The sequence below is a fragment of the Homo sapiens genome, chromosome 15 (assembly GCF_000001405.40).
Source record: "Homo sapiens chromosome 15, GRCh38.p14 Primary Assembly".
NCBI lineage: Eukaryota > Metazoa > Chordata > Mammalia > Primates > Hominidae > Homo > Homo sapiens.
Window position 1 is genome coordinate 86,930,610 of NC_000015.10, and position 16,595 is coordinate 86,947,204.

The 16,595-nt window shown below is 40.7% G+C and overlaps 1 protein-coding gene and 2 long non-coding RNA genes across 4 annotated transcripts in view; 2 read left to right on the top strand and 1 right to left on the bottom strand.

Moving 5' to 3' along the window:
• Window positions 1–16,595, top strand: part of AGBL1 (AGBL carboxypeptidase 1) — a 951,857-nt gene that overhangs the window by 850,990 nt on the left and 84,272 nt on the right. The window lies entirely within an intron of this gene.
• LOC105370954 (uncharacterized) lies at window positions 2,271–15,722 on the top strand. Its single transcript, NR_135682.1, has 3 exons — window positions 2,271–2,360; window positions 4,474–4,584; window positions 15,573–15,722. It is a non-coding gene; the product is annotated as an uncharacterized LOC105370954 (long non-coding RNA).
• LOC102724452 (uncharacterized) overlaps window positions 8,188–16,595 on the bottom strand; it is a 49,630-nt gene continuing 41,222 nt past the window's right edge. Inside the window, exons 2-3 of the long non-coding RNA NR_135683.1 lie at window positions 9,043–9,157; window positions 8,188–8,481 (exon numbers count right to left, since the gene is read on the bottom strand). This is a non-coding gene — a long non-coding RNA (uncharacterized LOC102724452). The remainder of the gene's footprint in view (window positions 8,482–9,042; window positions 9,158–16,595) is intronic.

A 16,595-nucleotide genomic window follows, 5' to 3' on the forward strand; every position in this document is an offset into this window, starting at 1 on the left:
GAAAGAAAATACATTTATCTGCCATGTGCTAGCTGTTCGTTATAGGATTTAAGGGTCCATGAAAAAAATGATAAAAAAGAAAATACTCAGAATAATTCAACAATTATTTTCAAAGTGAGATAGATCAGGGATCCCTCTTAGGGGCCTGCCAGCCCCTGAACCATAGATATAAAGGAAAATCTTGAGTTTCTTCAAGGGGAATTCCAGGCACATAAAAGTAAATGAGCAACTTGGCAAGCAAAAAGGTAATAGTGGCTTAAAACAATAGTCAAGGAAGTTAGAGTTGCGAGATGTCTGATTCCCTATAGAAACTAAAGATAACATCTTACCATAAATCCCTTAGTTGTTTTTCAGAAACCCAGACCCCCACCAAACAGATCTGCTGGCATGTAGACCTCAGATAAGGAGGAGCTGAGGACTGGACTCTGACTGCCTGCCGTCTTTTACTCCAAATTTCTTCCTCGGAGGCCTGGAAGGAGTCATCCTCATAAGCCAAAGCTAGCATCCTTTTCTGTTGACCCCAAGTCTTTAGACAATGCTTCCTTTCCTTAACCAATTGCAAATCAGAAAATCTTTGAATCTACTTATGACATGTTACCCTTCGCTTCAAGATATTTCGCCTTTATAGGCCAAACCAAAGGATAACCTCCATGTGTTGATTTACAATTTTGCCTGTAACTTCCGCTTCCCTGAAATTTACCCCTACGTTTAACAACCCTTGTTTGTAAGCTATCAGAGAGGTCAGGTCTTCAGAGTGAGGTACCTGATTCTCCTTGCTTGGCGCCTTGCAGATAAACACCCACCTTTCTCCTGCTGCAAAACCTGGGTAGGAATGTTTGGCCTTACCATGCTGGGCAAGTGGACCCCAGTTCAGTTTGGTAACAATAGGAATCTACATAAAAAAAATTACATTATTTCACTGAAAAATTACAGCAACAAAATGAATAGTGGTGCTTTTGCTGCTGCTGCTGCTGCTGCTGCTGCTGCTGCTGCTGCTGCTGCTGCTGGTTGTTGTATTGATCAATTCCATGCTAACAAATCTTTTTCATTTGATACGTTTCTGAAATTTTAAGGTATGTGTGTGGTGTGAGGTGGAGGGGGGACCTTGGGTAGAAATACTCTGAATTCTATTTTCCTAGAGTTATTTGCTTCTTAAAACAAGCCAGTGCCATCATTTATAACTATAACCCTGAAGGCATCATGGTTGCCTAAATATATAAGCAAAATGAAATGTACAATTTGCAGAATCTTTATTTGAATACTTTAAAATTCTTGAATGGTTTAGGGGAAGACATGCAAGCAGTAAAAAAAAATCAAGTGTGATGCTATCTAGCAATGTTTATTAAATGCCTACTTGTGGTTCTGTTTGATATTCTGAAGGACAAAATGAATGTAATTGTGGAATCATAGAGTTATAAAGCTGGAAGGGATTTTAAATTTATCTTATCTAGCTTGTACAGTTTACTCACGGAGGAAGTGAGGCTAAAATATAATTAGTTCCTGAGGTCATTCAGGTAGGAAAGACAGGACTCAAACCCAGGTTTCCCAAGACCTAACACAAGACTCCTTCCAACACCCTCCCATTTGAAGAGCCCTGTTATATCAACTATTGCTAATGTATAATGTAAAATTCCCTAAGTGCATATAAACAACGAAGTAATTTCTAAACATGATATTACTGCAAGGATAGACCTGACCATTAACTTTAGGCTCTGTCAACACATTTAAAAGTGGAGAAGGGGTGTTCAGGCATTACTCAAGTCATTTGATTAATGCCAGCAGTTCAGATCTTTCAGGTTCTAAAATGGACTGCTGTGTGGATAAGCTGATTTGATAGTGTTTAGGACCTGTTTCAAAGGGTGCGTGGAAACTCTTTCCTTCCCTTCTTGCTATGTATAATAGCTTTGCGTGGGTGTTGAAGCCAGAGAATTGTTTGAAAAGAGAATTGCTGAGAATAAATCAAATCACCAGTCTTCAGAGACAATCAGTTAGGTCACATTTAGTCAACTCCGTGAAGCAAGGACAGGGGTTGGTCCTGAGTCTTGTATTTTTTTCCAAAATCGCTTTGCAATGACATCAACTATGGCTGACTCCCCATTCTCCTGCTTCACTGCTTACCATATAATGGCCCATTATGAATGTTTTGCTGAAGGCAGAAATTAACCTTTTATGGAAGTTTTGTCCCATTAAGTCTAGTTACTTGAATCTGGACTGATTTTCTTTCTGATGAGAAGACTTTTAGCCAATGTTTTAAGTGCTTGAAAAAAATGTTCTGGTCTTGACTGTCTGTGAGAGCCTTCCTGGTGGAAACAGAATTGTTAGTCAGCTGTCATCTCCATGGTGATTTTTTAAGGCTAAGTGTAAGTCATTCTTCTAAATATTGAGGCATAATTTGTGAATATGCAGTTGAATAAATAATAATAGAATTTTAAACAAGATAGACTGCCTTTAATTCTGCTGTTTGAGACTTTTCATGTGCTAGTCTAATCTATAACTAGTCTTCAAACATGACCTTAACAGTTTCTCTGAAACCACCTTTGCAAAGATTATGGAAGTGAGAGAAATCTAACGTGGCTGACTCCATCCTGCTTGTAGCCTTACAGGCTGGCTGTCCCTGTTCATTCCTGGGCAGAGGCCAAGATAACCATGGGAGGACTTTAGTTTTTAGTTTAACTTTGAAGCAAGGATGATAATAGTCCCTCCCTACAACTGATCCCCTCCTTGTTTGGGGGATGAAACCAAAAGGCCACAAAATAAGGGATATGGGAGGGGTCTGAATTCTGCTCAAATGTAGGCATAATTTCTATAGCTCATTACAGCTCAGGAGTCATGTAGCCAGAGGTCGCAAGATTTGTGACTTCCCCAATTGCTCTCATAGATCTCATCTCTATTGTAGAACCTAAGATTGATCTTTTGAGATCAACTCCAGTTATCCTGTGTGTCTGGCCTTGCATCAGTTAAACTCCTTTCTTGACTGCAATACCACAGTCTCAGGGAATTGGATTTGTCTGTGCAGCAGGCAGGAAGAACCTGCTAGGTGATTACATCCCCTCCTCAATGATCACGTTTTATCTGCCTGCCTGTGTTTTATTTCACTCTACCCACTTTCCGTGTATCCGGTTCCTTCAAAGAATAGCTCTATTCTAACCACTAAGTCTTCTCTTACACCCATCTCTTTGTATTCCCCAGTGTCTTATGCAATGCATATAACATAGGCTCCCTTGCCGGAGGAATTGCCACTTTGGGAAAAACAACTCTAGTTTGGATGTCAGGAGATCTTGGTTGAGGTTCTAACACTGCCCAGTACAAGCTCTGTGGCCTTATTAAGTTTCTCCATCTTCAATTCTTCCGTCTAAAAATTGAACAAGTTGGGCAAGATCATCTCTAATGTTCTCCGTCTGTGGATTCTATGATGAATCTCAGTTATAGAAACAAAATAATAAAATCATCAGAGAGCACTGGCTTCCTGCACTATACTTTTAATAGAGTGTTTTTTCATCCATTATCTCTTCAAATTTATGCTCAGAGGTCAGAATTATGATAAACAGCTAAAAGCTGCTGTGAGCTGGGGAGAGGAGTAAGTGAATTCACCTCTCCAAGGAGACTTGTTCTGCAGCTTGTGAGTGCTGTTAACCCAATGTTCCCAGTGGCAAAGTAGGGGCATCAAATGATTTATTCCTTATTTTATCTCTTTAAGTGTCCAGAAAGCTGTTAAAGCAAGAAAAAGGTCTAACAGCTCCCTATTGGCCAAGAATAAGTCTTTGGGATCATCCATTTAGAACAATAGACCAGAATGTGTGAATCTTCAACTATATTCCCTCATCTGAACCAGAGAGAGGCAGAATAAACAAGCCAGTATGTTCTGTGCTTACAGACTTCCTCCTTGCTATTATCTTATTTCTCCATTTCAAACCTTATATAGGTTAAAAAAAAAAAGTAAATAGCAGAACAAAACTGTCTCCCAAAGTTCTTGGAGATGGCTAAAATAAATATTTATTAACTGCATACTATGTTATATTTATAAGTTACAGGGTCAATAGGATGTCATGATTAAGATTATAGCCCCTGGAGCTGGTTAATACAGTACTTCAACAGTATCTGGCTCAAAGTAAGCACACAATAAATGTTGCCTTTTAATAGTGTAGTTATTTATTATTGTGGTTACTTCTGGGTACCAGATACATGGTGAGGAAAATAGTAAGTTCCCTTTTTCCATGGGCTGCCAAAATAACCTCTACATATATTGATAAATATTTTTTAAACACTGATTTTGGGGAAATTGTTGGTAGGACGATAAGACATACTCCAGATATTCTGGATCCATTCTCCTCCTGATATCACACCAAATTTTCCAACCTTGTGCCATAATAAATGGGACAAATGTAGCATTTAAGTTAAAATGTAAAAACTATAAAATAAATTTACACTGCAGCTGGGGTCACCTTGGTCTTGTCCTATTTTGTAATCCTCCAGGCTGAACCAGATTTCTTTTCATTATGGGAGTGAAAATGAACTCAGCGGATTTTCTCCCCGATTCCTCTCCATTTTCTGTTTTCAGACTTCTCCATCATGTTCTTGTGCCTGGTGAGTCCCGTTGTCAGGTCTTGTTGTGACCCCAGAGATCAATTAGAGGGTCGTTCAGTGTTTTACCATTTACTTGGCAAAGAGGATAATGCGGGCACTGTGAGTCACCACACGGAGTTATGGTTATACATGTGACATTAAAATTAATTGTACACGTGAATACATTGGTGGTGCTCTAAGGCATTGGATTTGCTCAGAGAAAGGGATGGCTTAGGAGAAGACAGAGAAGGTAAGAACAAATTCTAGGCTAGGAGGCAAGCCAGCTAATGAGTGACATTTCCCCATGCCACCATAGTGGTCACAGCTCCTTCAGGGGCAAGCTGGGGCACACAGCCTTCTTCTTTTATGCTCTTTCCCTCTCTAAAAACACTGGGAGCCATATCACCCTGAGTGGACCAACACAGTCTCTAATTGGAACTTATTTTTCAGTTTCCCATGCTCTACTGGTGGCTCTGTGATAAGAGAGTTTATGGAAACATAAAGAGCCCACGTTAGTGTTTAGCCAGTGTCAAGTCTGACTAAAAATGAAATCTTGTTGTTGTCATGCTGTGGGATTTGCAAAGAGAGCCGCACTGAGGCTGGAAAACAGGGGAACTCAAGGTGACAATTGTATGTGGGTTTTAAAGGGCAGCTATGATTAGAAATGTGCCTGTAAAAATGGCATTTCAATGTTCCAAATGTATTCCCCTTTGGTGATTTCCAGGTCAAATTCACTTAGTTTACAAATAAAAACAAAAGATTCGCAACTGCAGCTCTGGGAGCTCAGTGAAAGACTTGAATAAAGGAGAGACTTGTCCTGTCCTCGGCTGAAGAGCCCTGCTCCAGCAGGCAAGGCAGAGGCCGCCACTGAGCAGCAGAGCGGCCGAGGATGGGTCTCACAGGCGGGCTGCTCGGCAGGTGCAGCCCTGGTGCCCAGGCCCTGGGGTTCTGCAGTGCCACTAAGTGCACACCATCTCAGCCACACTCGAGAGAGCCCATCTTTGTCAATGAGTGCTTTTGAATGGACAACAAATGCATTGCCAAATTGTAAACAGCAGTGTGTATGTATGTGTGTGTGTGTGTGTGTGTGTGTGTGACAGAGAGAGAAAGAGAGAGAGAACAACAGATAAACAAGAAAAAAAACAAAAGTAAATTACTCACTGTGCCAGGTATTGTGACAGGAAGTGCTAGTCATCTATATTCTTGTGGAAAACTGGCCATTATCTGGTGTATATTGACACTTCCAAGGAATCCAGACTCAACACCACCCCAGGTGCTATGCTTTGTAGATAGGGGAATGTTAGCAGGACATTCAAGATACGGGAATGTTATCAGGACTATTAAAATATTTCTTCTCTGACAAAAACAAGTAATGGGGAAAAGCCTCCCTAGTCAATAAATGGTGCTTGGATAACTGGCTAGCCATATGTAGAAGATTGAAGCTGGACCTCTTCCTTATACCATAAACAAAAATCAACACAAGATGAATTAAAGACTTAATTGTAAAACCCAAAACTGTAAAAAATCCTGGAAGACAACCTAGGCAATACCATGCTAGACATAGGAACAGACAAAGATTTCATAACAAAGACACCAAAAGCAATCGCAGTAAAAGCAAAAATTGACAAGTGGGATATAATTCAACTTAAGAGCTTCTGCACAGAAAAAGAAAGTATTAACACGGTAAACAGACAACCTACAAAATGGGAGAAAATATTTTCCAACTATGCATCTGACAAAGGTCTCATATCCAGCATCCTTAAGGAACTTATATAAATTTATGAAAGGAAACATACAACCCCATTAAAAAGTGGGCAAAGGACATGAACAGCCACCTTTCAAAAGAAGACATACATGCAGCCAACAAGCATATGAAGAAAAGCTCAATATCACTGATCATTAGAGAAATGCAAATGGAAACCACAATGAGATATCATCTCACACCTCTAAGAATGCTATTATGAAAAAGTCTGAAAGTAACAGATGCTAGTGAGGTTGTGGAGTAACGGGAACACTTATTCACTGTTAGTGGGAGTGTAAATTAGTTCAACAATTGTGGAAAGCAGTATGGTGATTCCTCAAAGAGCTAAAAGCAGAACTACCATTAAACCCAGCAATCTCATTACTGCGCATATATCCAGAGGAATATAAATCATTTTACTATAAAGACATAAGCACACAAATGTTCATTGCAGCACTAGTCACAATAGCAAAGACATGGAATCAATCTAAATGCTCATCAGTCGTAGACTGGATAAGTGTAATACATATACTCCATGGAATACTATGCAGCCATGAAAAGGAATGAAATAATGTCCTTTGCAGGAACATGGATGGAGCTAGAGGCCATTATCCTCAGCAAATTAAAATAGGAACAGAAAACCAAATATCACATGTTCTCACTTATAAGTGGGAGCTAAATGATGAGAACTTATGCACACAAAGAAGAAAACAATAGACACTGAGTTCTACTTGAGGATGGAGGATGGAAGGAGGGAGAGGAGCAGAAAAGATAACTATTGGATACTGGGCTTAATACCTGGGTGATGAAATAATCTGTACAACAAACCCCCATGACATGAGTTTACCTATGTGGCAAACTTTCACATGTACCTCCAAAACTAAAATAAAAGTTAAAACAAAAGTTTCTTTCAACCTGTAAAATATTACATGCTATGTACTACCCTGTTGCACAGCCTCAGCAGGCTCAATCCTTCTACAGCCTGGACGTAAAGCATGCAGGGACCTCAAAGTAGAATTGCAAGAGGTGAGACCATACAGCTAAGGGAAGCAGAGTAAGGTCTGATGTATTAAATTAAATAGAAGAAATGGCCAATACAGTTGGTTGCCCATCAAGTATTTAGTCTCTTATTGTTCCTTGTTTTGAGACACACTACTTTTTTGGGGTGCAGCAACATATCCATTCCAAGGCATGATTGTGCAGAGACACTTCTGATAAGTGTGGTCCCTAATTTTCCAGCTTCCCTTGCTTCTGTGGGAAGACTTGCTGCCCATGGAAGTCTGCTGGGAAGTGGGTGTGAAGAGATGAGCTATGAAAATATTTGCTTTCCTGATTATAGAAAATAGAATGGCCTCCAAGAGCCCTTTCCCCTTTTATAGTCTTCCCATCTTGCACGGGACACAGATATGATGGCTTGAGTGTCAGTAACCTCGCTGTGACCAGGAGAGGAAGGCCACAAAAATGGAAGAAACTTTTGACCTAATTTGGTAGAGCTACTAAAATAATCATAGTAATTGCCTACCTCCCTGATCTTTTGGAGAAAACCAAAGTGTTGTTCCCTAATGCCTCTGTCATGGGATTTTCTAATTCAGGCAGCTGAACGTATTTCCAACTAATATGGAAGAATGGCATGGGGGCTGTTCCATCTGCTTGGAGGGACACTCAGCCATTCCAAGCACCTAGTCCAGGATACCTAACAAAATTGAGACTAACTCAAGCCAATATCTCTCTCTCAGGGGTTGGAGAAAGCAAGGTATGAGGTTTTGGAGCAGCAGCCGTAGTTCTAAGGATGGGTGGATATCAGAGTTGAAGTACCAAGAAAGCCTTTTGAGGATACTCTGATCCTCTAGTTCAGGGTATGTAAAAGCAGATTCTGGCCCCAGTAGAAGTGAACTTCTCCCAAAGGAGAAGACTGAATTTATTCACCGCCTGGGTTTTCTTTTTACTGGAGAACTGCACTAAAACAAAACAAAACAAAAAACATCTGTCTTCCTTCAGGACCTTGCAGCATCAATCAGTTTCATGCAAAGGAGAAGCTCCAGCGTTGTCTTGCCACAAAGAGCCTTGGGGGTGACCCACATTCACTGTCACATCCTTCACATCTTTTTCCATCTCGTTGTTGCTTTTTGCCACTTCTGAAATTGTTACACATTTTCTTGTTTGGATCCCTGCATAGCCTGTGTGATGGTTAATATTGAGTGTCAACTTGATTGGATTGAAGGTGCAAAGTATTGTTCCTGGGTGTGTCTGTGAGGGTATTGCCAAAGGAGATTAACATTTGAGTCAATGGACTGGGAGAGGTAGACCCACTCTCAATCTGGATGGGCACCGTCTAATCAGCTGCCAGCTCAGCTAGAATAAAGCAGGCAGAAGAAGATAGAAAGAGCAGACTTGCTGAGTCTTCTGACCCTCATCTTTCTCCTGTGCTGCATGCTTCCTGCCCTTGAACATCAGACTCCAAGTTCTTCAGCTTTTGGACTCTTGGACTTACACCAATGATTTCCCAGGGGCCCTCAGGCCTTCCGCCACAAACTGAAGGCTGCACTGTTGGCTTCCCTACTCTTGAGATTTTGGGACTCAGACTGGCTTCCTTGCTCCTCAGCCTGCAGATAGCCTATTGTGGGACTTCACCTCGTGATCGTGTGGGTCAACACCCCTTAATAAACTCCCCTTCAAATATACATCTATCCTGTTAGTCCTGTCCCTCTAAAGAATCCTAATACAGCCTAATAACTTACCTCTCTCCTCAAAGGCTAACGTGATGTTTCCCTGCAGATATGCCAACTTATGTGAGTTTGGGTAAGCATTTATCCTCTCCATCAGTACCACTCTTTCTGAGCTTTTGCTGATCACCTGAGTGGCAAATAAGCAGAAGACTGGAATAAGGAAGAAAGTCAGCCAAATGCACCAGTAATTTTGGCAGAATCTTGATAACCATGGGAGAGAATAGAGTACGCTGTTTCTTTTTTTATTTTATATATATATGCTTTTTTTTTTCCAGACAGGGTCTTACACTGGCCCAGGTGGAACCATTATTGATTCACCACAGCCTTGACCTCCCAGGCTCAAGCAATCCTCCCACCTCAGCCTCCCTAGTAGCTGGAACTACAGGCATGTGTCAACAAACTCAGCTAATTTTGGTAGTCCTTTTTTTTTTTTTTTTTTTTTTTTTTTTGGTAGAGACGGGGTTTCTCTGTGTTGCTCAGCCTGGGCTCGAACTTCTATGCTCAAGAGCTCCACCTGCCTTGGCCTCTCAAAGTGCTTACAGACATGAGCCTGTGCCCGGTTGAGTGCACTGTTTCTAATGGAGCCCTTTGATTTGGTATGTCTTGTTTGAAACACACTTTCTTTTAGAAAAACTTAACCTCTTAATTTGTTGATCTGTAAAATGGAGATAATAATAATATAGACCTCATAGAGTTGCTGTTTCAGCTGAGATGATTTATCAAACTATTTAGAAGATTGACAGCACATGGTAAGTGTCCAAGAAACGTAATCTCTCTGAGTGATCAGGCACTCACTCATTGAATCACAAATACTCATTAAGTACTGGTTATATGCTGAATACCTGGCATATAATGTTGACCACTAAGCCATGGTCCCTACCTTCAGGGAACTTATAAGAGTGTTGAATAAAAATTATAGAAGGAAATTGTTACAAACTAAGTGCACACACAAGGGCCCAACAGACCAAACTAAAAGTCAAAATGGAGTCACTTATGCTGAGGCTCCACATCACCAAACCAAAACTGAGTTATCCAACTTGAGAAATCTGGAGGGAGAGATAGGCAAATTTCCCAAACAGGCCAGTTTCAATTGGCGTGGTAATGAAGTTCCCTCTGCCTTTAACTCTTAAACAAAAAGTAACCTGAAGTAACTTGATGTTAGCCAATCACTTTTCTATTGTTTTGTTTCTGTTTTCCTACCTTACAAGAAATATAAATTTGAAAGGACCAATCACTTCCTGTTCTTTGTTTCTGCTTTCTTCAGCCCTGCTCTGCCTATAAAACCAATGTCCTCTGCTCAGCTCACTGGAACTTATTCCATTTTATGAAATGAAGTGTTGCCCAATTCTAGGACCTCAAATAAAGCAACCTTAGATCTTTAAATGTAATTCTTGTAACTTTGTCTTTTGGCAAAAGCAATCAGTAGATAAACCATACTCTTTGGTCCTATGCGTGCTGTGATATGAAGTAAAAAACATGGTTCTAAGTAACATGGAATCTACTTGCAAAGGAGACTGTGACATTTACAAGATGAATGGATATATTTGAAGAGCACAAACTCTTTGGCTTTTGGTTAAATATTCTGAGACTCTTTTCCTCCACATTTGAAATGTATTCACACTTCCCCAGGAGGAAAAGCTAAAGCTCAACCCTGTCAGGACGTTGTAATTTCTGGGTCAGTCAGGAGAAAAACTACACAGTACTTTAACAGTTATGGTAATATAAATATTCTAATAGGGAATTGGAGTAATCAGGAATTAGGTCACTGGAAGTCGAGAACTCTAAAGAACATAGAAATAGTAAACATGACGAACAGTCACAGCTATGGAGCAGAGACATCACGCCCAAGGAAGAGCCCTCTGCAGTGGCCATTCCCCACCCAAAGCTGAGATCCAACCTGGCTGGAGAGGCCATTTTGTGGCTCATGATGGCAGAGAAGTCACTGTATATAGAGATAATATACGTAGAGAAGCCATCCTGGCAGATCTTGCTGGAAATAGGCCCTTTGGAATTTGCTGGAAAACTGCCCTCCAGGAAAACTTCACCAGGAGGCATCTTTCTTACTGGAGGCACTCTACAACAAAGTGCTCAAAGAAGAGCTGCCAGGCAAGGTGCCAGCCATTGAGAGCTGCTGACTGCCATGCAATGCAGAGCCTGATGCAGGAGAACCATGCACACTACAGGAGCAGGCCCAGGGAACATGCCAGAAGCAGGAGGCAAAATTCTTCTCTGCCAGAATCTCTCTCCAGTGCCTTGTAGTGAATTAGTGCTAGCTGGTGGAAGAAAAAGAGTTAAGATTGCAGATTTATTTCAACAAGGCAGTAAAAAGGGTGATATTGGAACTGAGAGGCAATGGATGAATAGCACAGGCATCCAACTCGAACCAGGCAATATACAGTATTCTCTCCATTAGGACAGAAGAGTCAACTCTTGATCCAGAGAGTTGAGAACTAAGATGTTCCTTTTCTCCTTAACTGCCTCCCCTGTAAACCTACACACACAAACACACACATACGCAAAACATTCAGTACACAGTGGTGTAACCAGAATAGGATAACTGTAGTAAATACTCCCATTTTAAAAAGGGAATGTGAGGGAGACAGCAACAGTCACCACCCATAGCAATTGTGCTTGGAGGACTGTGAAGTTTTCATCCCCTAAGGTGGAGGAGGACTCAAGAGGAAGTCATGGTTCTACTCCTGGAAGGGCTCATTTGACATTTCTTCTAGATTCCCTGACTCTACTGTCGGGAAGTTTCTTCCGAGGGTTTTAGAATTGTTTCAGTAAAAGATATGTTTACATTCTGAACTTGTGGCTTCTTAGGTTATTCATTGTCTCAAAAAGTTAATCAGATTCTGACTCATGGACTCTCACTCAGTTCCAGGAACCAGCAACCACACCTAGACATCTGAAGAGACATAGATTTTAGAGCCACTTTATTACTTTTCATTTTTTCCCTCACACCTCTCTCTCTCAACTTAATTAAAATACCTTAAAACTCAATCTGATCTTTGCCTAGAATCACTTTATCTTACTGAGCGTTTGTGATTCAAAGCCTTTTGTAATCCCTTCTCTTACAGTTTGGGCTTTAGAAACAGTCGGCTTTTCTAACCCTGCAAGGACCCAATTTTCTGGATTCTATTTCATTCCAGTTCATTTCTACTTATAAGGAGGCTAATGAATTACTGAGTTCTTGTCTTTCTTGTAATACCTTGTCAATCCACCAATAGTTGCTAATATCTCAGTAACAACTGCCTTTTAAATTTTGTATTATTTCCTTCTAACACTGCAGGCACATTGTACCTGTTCTCACTTTTCACTGTAAAAAATGGATCACCATCTTCTTAGCCTCACTGTTAACTGCTCAACTCCTTATTCAATGCCACATAAATTAGGTTTTTGTAACGTCATTACCCTACTTTTGGAACCAAGATTCCTATAAGTCAGGAGAGTTAACAGATTTGGTTACAGTGTAAAAGCTCTAAAATCTCAGGTACTTAAAATAATTTAAGGATTATTTCTCAGTTAACCTAAGTCTCATACAAATTAAAGAGTCCTGTTCTATCTTGAAACTACCTATCTGGAACACATCACTTTTAAGATTAGCATGATAAGGAAGAAGAAAAATGGCAATTCTACTGGAAACTTTGTGTGGACTTTATATCCTGACATAGAAGACATGGAAAGAGATTACAACATATCCAGATGTGGAAAAAAATAAATTCACAAAACAGTATTCAAAATTTCTATTAATTTTGGAATCTGTGATATCTCTCTCCTGCAGAGAGACAGGAGCTCCCCAGTAGGTCTTCTGGTTCTGTGACAAAATACACAGGGTTTTACAGACGACCTTGAGGATGTGGTGTCTGATTTACATAGGGCACGAGAGATTGGTTGGACCAGGTGCGCCATTCACACAGTGTGTGAAGATGCTGGCCACCCCACCCTAATCTTTTGTTATGCAGATGGGTTCTCTACCCGGCCGGCACCATGTTGCCTGCTTTTTTACTGCACATGTGGTGATGAAGAAAAAGGAAGAGGGAACCTCCATGTTGAATATACCTGGCTTCCAGGTATCCCTTTTCTATTGGCACAGCTGCTGGCATTTCCCTATGCAAGTTTTAGCTTGCTTATCTATGCTTGCAGCTTGATTTTTCAGGCTGCTTTTTATTAAAGGGAAACCTTACCAAGGACTCTCTTACCCTCGCTGTCTGCCTAAATCATTTCCTTCTAGCTCCTGTATCACCAGCCCATTGGCCAGGAGCAGCCAAATGGCCCAAACCTAACTTCAAGGAAGACTGGAGAATGTAGCTGGCACATGGAGTACTTTTGGACCACGAACTTTCTCTGCCACAGTATAACATATGCTGTGTCAAAAAAGTATGCCTAAGATAAAATGAAATCTAAGATAAGACCTGAAGGAAGAGTAAGAGTCAGGTGAAGAATGAAGGGTGGGGCGCGGTGGCTCATCCTGTAATCCCAGCACTTTGGGAGGCTGAGGCGGGCGGATCACCTGAGGTCAGGAGTTCGAGACCAGCCTGACCAACATGGAGAAACTCTGTCTCTATTAAAAATACAAAATTAGCCAGGCATGGTGGCACATGCCTGTAGTCCCAGCTACTTCAGCTACTTGGGAGGCTGAGGCAGGAAAATCGCTTGAACCAGGGAGGCAGAGGTTACGGGGAGCTGAGATTGTGCCACTGCACTCCAGCCTGGGCAAAAAGTGAAACTCCGTCTAAATAATAATAATAATAATAATGAGGGCAGGCATGTTTCAGGATGGCCGACCAGCATGTGCAGGGAAAGCATGGCACCATTCGGGGAACATACTGAGCTGAGTTAGGGGACCAATTCAAAGTCAGTCCTGATGATAGAGAGACAGAACATTCGACTGGACATCGCTTTGCTCAGAACTTTAGCAATGTTGAAGTCATAAGGGACGCACAGTAGAACTGAAAGAGGAAGGGACAAAAATAACTGTTTAAGATAGTCCAAGAATATGTAGTACCTACATAAGTAATCTGCATATTTTTAATGCCTTCATTCATGAAATCTGCAAATTTTTAATACCTTCAATTCATTTTCAGAAATGAATATGTATTTCACATTAGAAAACAAGTAGAATTAATTATCATCTTTTACTCAGCAATTCCATTTTCAATTTTCTTAAGGGCAATAAGTAAGAATCTTTAAGATAGAGTGACAATACAATTTATTGACCGAACTAGGAGACTTTTGCAGGGAAAAGGGTTTTCTCTAAATACTTACAGTAGGACAACGGCTGTAAACTGGCTCTTTCCTGAGCAAATCAGAATGTATGGTCATCGTGTATATAAGTATTATGAAATTTGTCACATCATTGTTTACAATGTCACAGTAAATAAATTATAGCAATAAATAGGAATTATAATTATCATGTAAAATGATGACATAGTAAGCAGCTGATAAAACAATGTTATGCCTGGGTGTGCTGGTGCACACTGTAGTCCTAGCTACTTGGGAGGCTGAGGCAGGAGGATCGCCTGAACCAGGAGTTCGAGGTTGCAGTGAGTTATGATCTTACCACGACACCCAAGTCTGGGCAACAGAGCAAGACCCCATCACTAAAAAAAAAAAAAAAAAAAAAAAGTTATAAAGAAAATATTTGATATCATGAAAAGAGTTCACGATATGTAAAGATAGAGAAAAAAAGTTTACAGATTTATTTCCATTCAATGGGTGGTAGTAGAAAAGATAGTAAAAAACCAGCCGGGCACAGTGGCTCACATCTGTAAATCCCAGCAGTTTGGGGAGCCGAGGCAGGTAGACGGCTTGAGCAGAGGGGATTGAGAACAGCCTGGGCAACCTGGTGAAACCCCGTCTCTACAAAAAATACAAAAAAAAATTAGCCGGTTGTGGTGGCATGCACCTGTGGTCCCAGCTACTTGGGAGGCTGAGGTGGGAAGATCACTTGAGCCTGGAAGGCAGAGGTTGCAGTGAGCTGAGATTGTGCCACTGCACTTCAGTGTGGACAAGAGAGTGAGACCCCATCTCAAAAAAGAAAAGTAAAAAACTGTTACAACTTATTAAAATTGGTTGACTCATTGAATAGTAGAATGATATGTGTGTGCATATGTGTGTGCGTGTATGTATGTTTTCTATTTTGATTCATTGTTATTAGTCAGCAGTCTGGGGATACAGCACTTTAAAAAGATACTTTTGGACCTCACCAAAGTTTTTACAAGTAGATTCAGCTGAAGGACAGCTCAGAGTCAAAGAATAATAATTCTTCCCAAATGTATAGCACTTTCACATTAAAGTGCCTTCATGTGCGTTATCTGATTTCATCTACTCAACAGAAGACAGGTATTATAATTCTCATTTTACAGTTCCAGAATCAGAATTTCTGAAAGATTAACTTAATTGCCCGAAGTCAAACAGATATTTTAAGGTGGGGTGAGAATTATAACTCACATCTCCCAACTCTAAGTTCAAATTTCTTTCAAAGACAGCAACCTAGGTTCATCCCGGGTCACTAATTATGATGCAATATTTTATTACAGGCAGTGTTAAGGGGCTACTATTTGGTTGGAAGAAGCCTTTGGAAAAGTTGTTGAAGAGTCACGTGCACAAGTGATGTGCTGAGCAGACTGGATCTTGCCTGATGGCCAGAAAATTAAAACAACACTGAAATTAATAAAAATTCAAACTCCCATTCTGCTATTTGAATACTTCACTGAGCTTAAGGATATAACATTTAGGATTCTTTTTTTTTGTAGTGGAATTTATTCCAGTGCTAGTTTATATAGTATATATAATCTACTTAATTTATCCTTTCCATACATGAACACATGAGTCCATAAACCTTTTATTCATTTATTAATAGACTCACTATGATTATTTCTGTTGAAGTGTCTAGTGGGGAATGCTAAGAAATACCATGAGGAGGTTGGGCGCAGGGGCTCAAGCCTGTAATCTCAGCACTTTGGGAGGCCGAGGCAGGTGGATCGCCTGAGGTTGGGAGTTCGAGACCAGCCTGACCAACATGGAGAAACCCCGTCTCTACTAAAAATACAAAATTAGCCAGGCATGGTGGCACATGCCTGTAACCTCAGCTACTCGGGAGGCTGAGGCAGAATTGGTTGAACCCGGGAGGGGGAGGTTGCAGTGAGCCAAAATCATGCCATTGCACTCCAGCCTGGGCAACGAGAGTGAAACTCGGTCCAAAAAAAAAAAAAAAAAACAAAATAGAAAAGAAAGAAAAAGAAATACTACAGGGAGGTGAGATGGGAGATGGGAATTGATTCATCCCTTCGCATGTCCCCTGCCCATTACTCAGAAATCTGTGTGGCATCTTTTCATATGGGCTTTAAGTTCTTCAAGGAACCTTTTAAGGATGTGGCAATACTCCCTGCAAGCACACAAACCTATCCAGGGACTACCGACTTAATCAGCTAGAAACACGAAGATCATCTCTGCTGCTTCTCTGAAAATTAAATGCTAAATTTGAGAAGGGTGGTGGGAATTCTTTGCTGATCTTAATGAATAATGAATAATGAAAGCTGCCCGGCTCCTGTTGACTAAGT